Genomic DNA, 11,446 nt, shown 5'->3' with positions numbered 1-11,446 from the left:
CAGGTTCAGTGACCTTCCCGACATCGGTGAGGATCATGGATTTACTTTGGCTGAGCCTGTCATGGTGGCTGTTGGCATTTTTGATTCTCATTTGCACAGCTCCTGTGCCTTGGCGGGTAGAATTCAGTGTTTCCACGGAAGTATCAGAATTTGTAGATTTCTGCATATTATAGTGCTATCCTGATAAAATATAAAATGTATTATGTTATTCTAAACATACAATTTTCCATGAAAACTCTTGATGGAGTGTCCCTAGTAATCATTAGGATATTAAAAGTTGATAAACAAGAGTCTTCACCTCTCTGACTAGTGAAGAAAAAAGTAGTTCCTTTGTAAGTTATTTTGTCAGTTGGGACCTTTACATGTGGATAGCACTATACATAACAGAGGACTTCAGAAGTTTATAGGTAGCACAACGATAGACTGTGTTTCTTAATTCCATTAACAAACTCCTAACAGTAATGAGATACAGTTTTCCTTATATAGAAATGGTGTTGCCCACCAACTGTCTTGAGGATATATGCTTTTTAATCCACAACTTCACTGGTCTATTACCCACTTTACCCCTACATGCTACCATCAGCACCCATTCTTGGTGAACAAAAATCTCTATGAATAAAGACAAATTTAAGTGAGTAAAATTGGTGTCAGAGCAAAACAGACCCCAGAGCCCCTACCCCCACTCACAATACTCACAGGGGGAAATTAAAATTCCTTCATCCACTGCCATCTGCCAACTGAACTAGATTTGCTAGCTTAGTTGGACATCGTATTTATAAAGAATATGAAGAAAAAAATCAGCACCATTTATTTTAATAGAAGGAGTCTGATTTAGGCAAGAAAATTTAGTATGGACACACTTTAAAGGAGCAGCAATGAGAAAAAATAGAATTTGGAGGAAGAAAACAAAGAGAACTAAACTGTGGCAGCACCAGAGGGTGGACTGGTAGAGCTTTAGCTGAGCCCCTCATCCATAATCCTCTTCAAATGTCCCTCCCCAAAAGTTCCTCAAGTGAACACAGCACCTCATTACAAACAGAATGGTTGCAATACAAACACATCTTCTCATTTTCTGGAAACAGCCCTCTTCTTGTCTGATTCTTGTCTCCAAGTCTAACCTAATAGACATCCTATAGCGGGCTCCGAGCACTGTGTACAGTGAACAAAACTGTGACTAGTCAGTTATGGGAGCGAATATAATCCAAAAGAAGAATCATGTTTTAAGGAGGCAAGTGTATAGCCACCCCAATGTTTGTTGGACAATGAGGCTAGAATCATTCATTCTAATGGCCAAGCAGGCAGACACTAAGACGAACAGAAAAGGAAATATTTTGATAGGAGGAAAATTGTTACTTTACAATAAATACCAGTAAGGCAATTAAATGACAAATTAGAAAAGAAGCTAATACTTAGTATCTACTATGTGCTAAGCAATGTGCTCAATGGTTGATTCTCAAAAAACTCCTATAAAATAGCCATTAAACCCATATTTTTATAAGAAAAAAATGAGGATCAGAGAGACTCATAATTTTTCCAGTAAAACAGGCAGGCAGAAAGAGGTGGAGGAGCAGGTATTTTATTCCCAAAAGAAGACCCATATGTCTATCAACAGGTGAACAGATAGACACATTTTAATTTATGCAATGAAAACAATAAACCATAAAAAGGAACAGACTATTGATGCATAAAACCACATAGATGAATTGCAAATCTATTCCGCTGAGTGAAAGAAACCGAAAAAAAAAGAAGAGGAATAGGAGGAGGAGGAGGAGGAGGAGGAGGAAGAGGAGGAGGAGGAGGAGGAGGAGGAGGAAGAAGAAGAAGAAGAAGAAGAAGAAGAAGAAGAAGAAGAAGAAGAAGAAGAAGAAGAAGAAGAAGATTTATTATATAATTTCATTTATATAATATTCTCAAAAATGCCAACTAAGGTATGCTAACAGAAAGCTGATCAGTAATTCCTTAGGGAAAGGATAGAGGCAAGTATGGATCACATTGAGCAAAGTTTTGGCAATGATGGGTATGTCTGTTACCTTGATTGTGGTGTTGGTTTCATAGGCATTTACACATGTTAAAAATGAACAAATTGTATACTTTAAACACTTGCACTTTATGATTCTTCAGTAATAAATCACGAAGATGTTTATAGAAAAGTTGTTTTAGCAATTGCTTAGCCAATTTATTTTGCTCTTATTTTCCTTTTTATATGCTTACATGAGTAATGTATTATTCAAAATTATCTAATTGAGAATGCAAGAGTTTTTTTCAATAAGTATGAAATAAAAATTTGAAGTATGTATTAAGAAGAAAATCATATATTTTTCTAGAAAAATATTTTCTCCTCTGAGTGCCTTCAAGGGTTGATTTCCCACATTATTCAATAGATTCAAACTCTAAGGACAGTGTGTTTGTAATATTGGTGGATGAAATCACTCAGGCTGAAGCCACTCTCTTCTGGCCAAGAGCATCTAGCCACGGTGTTTACATAGCCCAACCGTACACCATTTATAGGACATGTTGCTTCCTCAGAAGCTGGACAAATTTCAGTGTCAAATCAAAATTTGCATTCCTATATTGATTTCACAATCAAACCATAATTTGCCTAGTGATATGCTACTGTCAAAAGGCTGGATTCATTACAAAGCCTTTTATCTGGCTTCCCCACCTCTGTTTTCATGGGGACAAGCTGCAGAAAATACTTTCAAGATTTTGCTTTCTTAGATCTTTCCATCAGGCGGATCTCTCTCTCTACCACAATGTTAATGTTATTTCTCTCAATTTGCTCACTGTCTCTCCTCCAGCCCTCACTTCCTTTTCCATCTCACCCTGTTGTTACATTTTGTTGACACCCCCTCCACTAAGTTTGTTCTCTTTATTCTGCTTCCCACGTACTTTGCTCTGCAAGGTCATTGACTTGATGCTATTTCATAATTGTTCTTCTATTGTTAAATATTTGGGGATTTCTAATTTTGCAGACCACTATATTGCTCTGGGAAGATAGAGAAAAATGACACAAAACCTCGTCTTAAAGATTTCTATCAACAGAAAACATACATATACCCCTTCGACCTTTACTGAGATTCTCCTAAGTGGCAGGCACCATTTTAGAGACTAGAGATAATCTTTATCAAGTGCCCCAGAGTTTGGTGAGGGCAATAGAGAAACAATCAATAATTAACTGAGAATAGGGCAGTGCCCAGGTGGGGAGAGGAGCAATGGCATTAAACTCAGGTGGAAGTGGGAGGTGGAGAGAGAGGAAGTCTGCAAGAGAAGATCAGATTACATCAGAGCTAAGTCAGTGCAGGTTGGACATTTCTGGCAAAGGATTTGGCAATGCAAAGGTGTGCAGATACCTGGGATATTATAAGGTAGGTATTGACATATGTCATGAAGGGACATAAAGTACCAGGGAAGTTCGAAGAAAGAAAGAAACAATGGATTTCATAGAGAAGGTAGCATTTGACCTCTCTGTGGGGATATCTGATCATCTCGCTTATCTTTCATCTGGCTGAATGATTGACTGAGAGTCCCATCCCTTCTAACCCAACCAGTACCAGAGGGGCTGGTATTCTAGACACTCTGAGGAAGAGAATGTGTGTTGTCCTGGATGTACATAACACACAATGTTTTTTTGTGGATGAATTGAGAATGGAGATGAATTGAGAGGGAAGCAGAGCCCTGCTGCCGGACAGAAGGAGGACAGTTGAGGATGGAAATCTAACAGGATGATGACAGCTGTGCCAGTGGCTGTGGGACCTGTGACTGCTGTACCTGTGGGTTCAGAGACGATTTCCTCTGATTCATCCCGTTAGGAACCTCTCATTCCAATTAGACAGGGCTGTTTCTAGGCCATATTTTGCAAGTTGTTTTGGGGTCCCACTTAGAGCCCTTTCTTTATTCCCTTTCAACTCCCCAGTTTCCCCCTGCCTACATCCCAACAGTTTTTTCTCTAGTAGACACCCTATAATCCTTTTCATATTTCAGCTGCCAGAGCACCCACTGCAGCATTCACTTAGGCTTAATCTAACTACAGTGTCAAAATTTATAAAAATTTCCATCATCCATTCTTTCTTACCTCTGAATCACTTAGATGTATATGGGAGGGGTATGATTAGACTAGCTAACACAATGTTATATCAGTCAGACTTTCCCTTAACTCTCAAGGAAGCATTTAACTGAATCTCAAACTGGAAACTCTTCTGGCTACATGAAAGAACTATCTTAGAGTAGAAGAGCATTGATCAGTCCACTCTATTTATGCCCTTACATAAATTCAGAGGTGGTAGGATTTGTGACTGGGGATGGGACATTAACATTGCATTCTGGAAAATGGTGCCTCCTAGAGCTGTATGATGCAATATCCCTTCCATGGTGGTCTTATTTTTTAGCCTTTATGAAATAAGGTTCTAGGGAAGAAACTCCATTGCAAAGCCTGCTCAACATCGACTCAAAAGAAACCCTCATACCCCAGAGTCCAACTTGACTTGGCTTCCAGAACCTAGGAGTGGTTGTTCTTCCAGGAATATCTGTATTAATTTCAGGGTGTTCTCTCAAAGAGAACGAGGAACTCCAGTTTTGTGAGTCTTTCTGCATTATTATTCCAAAAATATTCACAGGAATCTTAAATTATATTCTGTTGTTCCACCCATGTTTTCATTCCTCACTGACCTTCAATTTTCTAGATTTGGTAGATTGTAAAATCAATAATATTTGCTTATGCTTATTTCTATGTAATTTAGTAATATCAGGCTTATTAACTTCAAATCATATTAAGTTTAGGTTTTGCTTGATCTATGTGCCTCTTCAGTATTCCCCTTGTTCTTCCTAGAACACGTTACCCACTCATGTCATCATCATTATTGTTACTATTAAATTTTGTTAGAGAAAACTTTGATGCCTTGTGTTTTTATGTTCTTACAGGAGGCATACAGAGCACTGGTGAATGACTAATGAAAATATTGAAGAACTGGCTCATTTTGCATGTGTTTGAGATATCCATTGATTTTACTAAACTCTCCAAATAAATATCCCTGAGTTAGAAATTGAAATGTAAATCACTTAAGACTGGCTTCACTATTCTCTAGACTTCCTGATTTTACGTGTACCAACAGAAGAGCAAGAATACCTTGTGATATTGCACTAGTTCTCCTTTCAATCCTGTTTAAAAACAGGAAGCAGTAATGAGAATGCACTTCATAAGAGCAACACGAACTTTGGCTCTGCTCAAACTACGTGGTTCGATGGTGTCCTGGGCTTCTGGGCTTGATTTTCCTACTCATACTGCAAATAGGAGTGAACATGATATTTCATCTAATCATAAATTTCATAGCTGCTCTCCCAATTATTTGTTGCATTCTGTTAACTACACTAAAGCTCAGCAGCCTGCCCTTTTGAGTTAGAATGTGTATTTTTGACATCTCTTTCACATCAACAGCATTAAAAGTAAAAATATATTAAGTAATTTTTGAGCTGGGAAAAACTGGATAGGCACTATGATATAATCTTTATGCTGCTGAGTAGAGAAAATGTAGGCTTGGGTATACTGAACACCATCCCCTGGTGTCACATTCTGTTCAGAATAACTCTAGGATGGCACTCAGGGCCCACACCCCCCAGCATCCTTGATTTCGCCATAGACCCACAAATCAAGTGGACATTGTGTATGGAAAGAAAAGGTAACAAGAAATGTAAAGAAAATCTGGCAGATAAAATGATCATAGTGTAGCCACGTTAGGTATGTATCATGCAAGTCTTTCTGTTTAATCATTTATAAATGTTCCTCTGCTTCCTGACAAAACAATAGAGACTTAAATGTTTGTTGAATGTATAAATGAAAAACAAATATGGAACCTAGTTTATGCCAGTGTATGTAGCCTGGCAAAGAAGAAAATGTCTTTGACCAATTTTCTTACTTTAAAAATGTGTAACTCACCTTTGCTAATATTTCTTAGAGTAAATAAACTATGGATATTTTATTATAAGTTAGAGGCAGAAAGAAAACAATGTTTCTTCTGTGTTCTGAGGCTAATATTAAAGTATGCTTGGAGATTCATATAATATTTTAGGGTTAAAAATATCATATTTCTATTTCCCAAAAGCCCTGTATCTTCTTCTCATTAAAAAAAGATCAAATTTATCACAATCTTAGAATTTTCAGGGATTTTTGCTTTGAGAATAGTCTTCCTTGAGTTTCAGATTTGGATAGGTACTTGATATTTTTCCCTAAAAGAAGGATGCTTCTGGAAGACATAGGTTGCCACTGAGAGTTTTGTGAGTAAAATCTCAGAGGCAAGAAATGGCCATACACCCAGGGAATTCCCATTTCATGAGTGTTAGCCTGAGTTTTCACTCCATGGCAAGGGAGCTGTATATTTAGCACATCCACCACGAGGAGCGAAGGTCCACCACGAGGAGCGAAGGTCCCCTCTGCCTAAACATGCACAAACTTTCTCTGGTGACACAACCCCATTCCCTGCTCTACATGTATTAGAGGAGCTGTTTCTCCAGGTCTGCTAAGAGCTCATGACAACTCCACAGATAAATAGTATTTCTCCGAGAAATTCATTTCTATCCCCTGGAAAGATCTTATGTTGATCTGTGGTAGAACAAGTCTGTTCCCCTGTGGAAATGAGTTGTGGTCCTGGTAGCTCCAGTAATGTGTGCCACAACCTTCGCGTCACACTTTCCTGACAGGTCAGTAATTAACTCGCATTGCAATTGTTTGTTGTCTCCACCACAGCAGCCATTTACCAAAATAGCATTTTAATTTCAGTTTCCTTCCATTTCACTTTCCTTTTGTTTTCTCCCTGTGGCTTTTACATCTCTATTAAGTCTAATTTCCCCGACCACTCTGTAAGCTGAGAGAGTGCAATAAAACTCAGTTTCAAAAATGTCAAATATAATGAGAAAGGAAGATCACAGTAAAGGAATGTGACCATAGCCACCCCATTGGGTAACATTGTCTTTGGGCAGGTGTTATATATAGGAAATGTGATAATAAGTTTTTGCATTTATTTAACTTATAGCAGGGAATCTGGAGTATTTGCTGCATTTGCTGACAAAGTCTGACAAGTCTGCAGCATGGTAAATTGTAATACAGTTATTATCACTGCACATGGCCATCTTAAATGGTGAAAATGTCAAGTAAAATATTTTTTAAAAGTAGAATAAGTGTGTGGTAGGCAACCATGATCTTTCTTAGCTCTTAACCTTTCAAACTCCATCCTGTTGGGAGCAAAGCAGCTCATTTTACACTTCAAATATTTATTGAGCCTCTACTCTGAGACATAGACTTTGCCACATCCCACAGGTTCTGCAAAGTTATTAAGCACCCTGCAGTGGAGTTAAGCACAAGCAGGCTTGCCTACCATGAAGTCTGATTAGAGTGCAGTGGAGAATGGGACTGGAGATGATTTTAGGGTGGAGGTGATGTGAGGCCTGGATGCTGTATGATAAACAGGACTCTGAAAGGCAGAGAGGGGATATCAAGAGCAGTGCAGGCTGAGATCACAAGATTTAAGGAAAGGGGAGTGAACATCCACACAAGATGATACAGTGTTGGTGGCTAAGTGGGAAAGCTATGGTTGATTAAGGCTGCCTTAGGAGAACCTGGTTATTTTTATTAAAGAATTGGGATTTTGTCTTATAGATCCTGGGGAAATTGATGATTTTGTTTAAGGTATAACCCCTTTCTAAGATACTTGATGAAAAGAAATCCACAAGTAAGAATCCTTGACCCCTGAGGCCACAAAATAAATATATAACATGCTCGTGGGATGCTTCTTAATTAACTTTAAAACAGAATAAATATTACAGTATCTATTTGTAAACATTAATCTTATGAAAAGGGCACCCTGTGATACGGAAAAAATATTCCAGAATTTTAGGTACTTCACTCTGAACATCTAGGTACATGTTCAATGCTTCTGGTCAACAATCAAATGAAAAGAAAGGTAAAGACTTAAAAGGAATAACTAAATAAAGCATTTGAAGAAAAGGTTCCTAGGGTGCAATTGCATCTAATTAAAGAGACATAAGGAAAATAAAGTTAAGATTAGTGGAACTGCTTCTGAATTTCCCTCTGATGATCAGGCAGGTAGTAAAAAATTGAAAAGCAAATAGGAAGAAAATGCCTGCGCCATTGTAATTACATTTAGGGAGCATAAGAAATTTTATAAAATGGCAATCTTCTTAGATACAGATGAGAGCCATAAGGGGCATAAGTAATGCAATCTTCTCTCTGTTTCCTCTGTCAGTTTTGACCTAATCTAGCAAGAAATGCTGAGCGATTTTCCGCCTCTTGCGTACAACTATCAATTAAGGGAAAACAGGGTGACTATCTTAGGGCATTGATGATGAAATGTCACTTAAAGAGAAAACATCAGCTCTAGAACAAGTTGCTCAGCAGCCACAGCGTTAGAAAACACTGGGGAAACAAATGGAGTCTCAGACCCTCACTGGGACAGGCTACTTCTCTAATCTTTGTTGGGAGAGTATCAAGTGCAAAAAGGAAATTTTAACCTGCGATTGTCTCAGTTTCCTGGGATTTCTTGTTCTACTGTCTTTCCTTCTTAAAGTGCTTGACCCAGTCGCAAAGTCTTTTTATCAGGCAGATTAAATCTAATCACCCATTGGTTGCAGTTATGCCAGGCTATCACTATCTTGGCCTGCCCAGGGTTCAAATATGTGGAAGTTGCATATTGCATAATTAGTACTTGACAGTAATTAACAGTAATCAGTAATTGACAACAGTCAGATATGGTTGACATTTGTTTTATTTAGCAAATTTGCTGTTGTATCTATTAGTCTTTCCCTAATGCTCATCTCCAAACTCTGAATTTATTAGATTGAATTTCAGTGCCAAAAGGGCATGTCTAATGATGGGACACTAATGTCATAGTCTATTGTTGTGAAGGACAATAACTATATCATTAAAATAAAAGTTTTCAGAGTATCTCCTTTAATGCATTTAAAAATCAGTTCTCTCTTGCTCAATTATTTATGAGTAAAATACATTTTAAATAGCTTGTGTGTATGTGTGTGTGTGTGCATGCCTATGTTTGCATATAAAGTTCAATGAACTGTCACAAACTGAACACATTCTTGTAATTACAGCCAAACCAAGAAACACAATATTATCAGCACTCCAGAATCCCCGCACAGCTCTGTTCCACTCACTACCCACCTCACCCCACTAAAGCTAATCATTCTTCTGTCTTCTAAGTTTTGCCTATTTCTGAACTTTATATCAATGAAAACCTAAAGGGTCTATTTTTTCTTGATGGGCTTATTTCACTCAAACTTTTATTTGTAAAGATGATTGCTATGCAATATTCTTTTGTGAAGTGCCTGTGCAATACTTTTGCTTGTTTTTAAGATCAGATTGTTTGTCTTTTTCTTACTGATTTATAGGAGTTATTTATGTATTATAACCACAAGTCTATTTTTAATATATATGTTGCAATAGTTATCATTTCCCACTTGTGGGTTGCTTTTTCACTCTCTTAATGGCATGTTTTAATGAAGAGGTCCTTAATTTTAATATTGTTTAACTTATTATTTATATCCTTTTACGATTAGTGCTTTTATTGCCCTCTTAAGAGACCCTTGCTTAATTTCAAGGCAACAAAGACTATTCCCATGATTTCCTCTAAATGAGTTGTTTCAACTTTATTTATTTTTAGAACTATGATTCATCTGGAAATAATGTTTGTGTTTGGTGTGAGATATATATATATTCCATATGGAAATAAAGTTACATATATATTATATATATATTATACACACACACACACACACACACACACACACACACACACACCCCTATACATATATAAATTGGAAGGACCTGTTATCTCTCCTGAAAGAACCGGGAACTGGCTTTTCATCTGAAGTGACCAGTTTCTGGAGAGCTCTCCTAGCCACACGTGGTGACGAAAGGTTCAGTTTGAAAGATGCTGACAGTGTCAAGCAATTACATAGATCTGTGGTCACAATCTAGGTAAATATTGGCAACTGGGGATACAAGTTGAATAGGAAGAGTTATACAACAAGTGAGCAGAAACAGTCATTGATAATCTGACAGGGTGGGGAATACTGAGAAGTTCAGATTTGCAGATTGTTATCAACTAGGAGGTTTTTTGCTAGGTGGCACAGTTCTCAATTCCGGCTATTTGTTCAGGTCTAGCTCAATTATCCACAAAGGAGATTGGCAATAGAAAGGTAGAACCTCAACCCTAGCAAGAGAGTGAGGCAATGAATGACCAGGTTACCAGCAAAGGAAGTTGCGGTCAAGGAGAAAGCAAATGTCCAGTGAGGAAGAGGTGACCCACTGAAGTGCTGGGACTTGTAAATAAGGTGGGAATGCACTTGATTTGTACATCACAAGCCCAGACCAAAAGATGAGATCACTCATTATAATTTATTGTTGAATCCACAAAACCCCATTCCACTAGAATTAAAGATTGTCTGTATTAAGTTAATGTTTCACCTGAGAGTAAGGGTCAGAAATAACCAGTTCCAGATGTGCACATGCTTCTGGTAGTAAAGAGAAAGAGAGCTATAAAGTAGTAATTCTCAATGGTCAATGTGTGGAGCTTATTAAATATGCAGACTTAGCTGAACCTTCCACAGATATTCCCATTTAAGGAGAATGAGGGAGAGGCTGAGAAATTGCATATTTGGTCATAACCCCTAAGGGATTCAGCTGCACCCTTTTGTAAAAAGTTATTTTTATAAAGGTTTATGTAAGTTATTCTTTAATTTTATACGCGCATTATTGTGAAATAGTTACTTGTTACTATGGTGTCTTCTTATTTTACAGCCCATTGCTGCTATCTTCATTTTGTTCATATTACTGCTCTAATTAATTTTCCTGGGAATGAAAGTTCACTTTAGAATATGCTGGTGAGGGGTAGGGGTATGGGCAATAGTTGAAAATAGTGAGAGATAAATGAGTAGGTAGCTAAGCAGGTAAGTAAATAGATAAATAGACACATAGGTGCATGAAAATGATGCTGTAAATATTCTACTTAAGACTAATTAAAATATGGTACTTTGTCAACCAGACCAACATCCAGTCATAAATATTGCTGGAAAATAAATTCTTTTGCATAAAAGAAATCCCCAAAGAGCTCCTAGGCAATCTGGGTCTATACACAACTTTGAGTGCAAGAGTGCTTTTTACTTTTTCTTTGCTTATTTATATCATGAACTTGGTAAGTGTGAGTAAAATAACATCAATTTCAACACTTAAAAAATAGTTCATAAAAGGAATGCTTGTACACTGTTGGTGGGAGTACAAATTAGTTTAACCATTGTAAAAGACAGTATGGAGATTTCTCAAAGAACTAAGGACAGAAATACCATTTGACCCAGCAATCCCATTACTAGGTATATACCCAAAGGAATATAAATCATCCCTTTATGCATGTGTATATTCATTGAGGCA

General features: G+C 37.4%; 1 protein-coding gene across 9 annotated transcripts in view, besides 1 other annotated feature; it reads right to left on the bottom strand.

Moving 5' to 3' along the window:
* ARHGAP15 (Rho GTPase activating protein 15) overlaps positions 1-11,446 on the bottom strand; it is a 638,934-nt gene that overhangs the window by 612,696 nt on the left and 14,792 nt on the right. For 6 of the 9 annotated variants that reach the window (XR_007078554.1, XM_011511482.3, XM_047445109.1 and 3 more), the window contains exon 1: positions 2-179. The exons of 2 other annotated variants lie outside the window; for them this stretch is intronic. Coding sequence is in view for 6 of the 7 variants with exons in the window: in XM_011511482.3 (XP_011509784.1) it covers positions 2-166 (165 nt within the window). In the remaining variant the exon portion in view is untranslated. Of the gene's footprint in view, position 1; positions 181-11,446 lie in introns of those variants that run through there. One more of the 9 variants, NM_018460.4, reaches the window with a different exon arrangement.
* Positions 6,792-6,851: an enhancer, noted in NCBI's record as "active region_16600". NCBI's record gives its function as "activates an Ori minimal core promoter by ATAC-STARR-seq in GM12878 lymphoblastoid cells {active_cell/tissue: GM12878}" and the evidence as "EXISTENCE:reporter gene assay evidence [ECO:0000049][PMID:35858748]".

The sequence above is a fragment of the Homo sapiens genome, chromosome 2, assembly GCF_000001405.40.
Source record: "Homo sapiens chromosome 2, GRCh38.p14 Primary Assembly".
In the NCBI taxonomy this organism is placed as follows: Eukaryota; Metazoa; Chordata; class Mammalia; order Primates; family Hominidae; genus Homo; species Homo sapiens.
The sequence above is the reverse complement of the archived record's forward strand: the minus strand, read 5'-3'. Positions and strand labels throughout refer to the sequence as shown.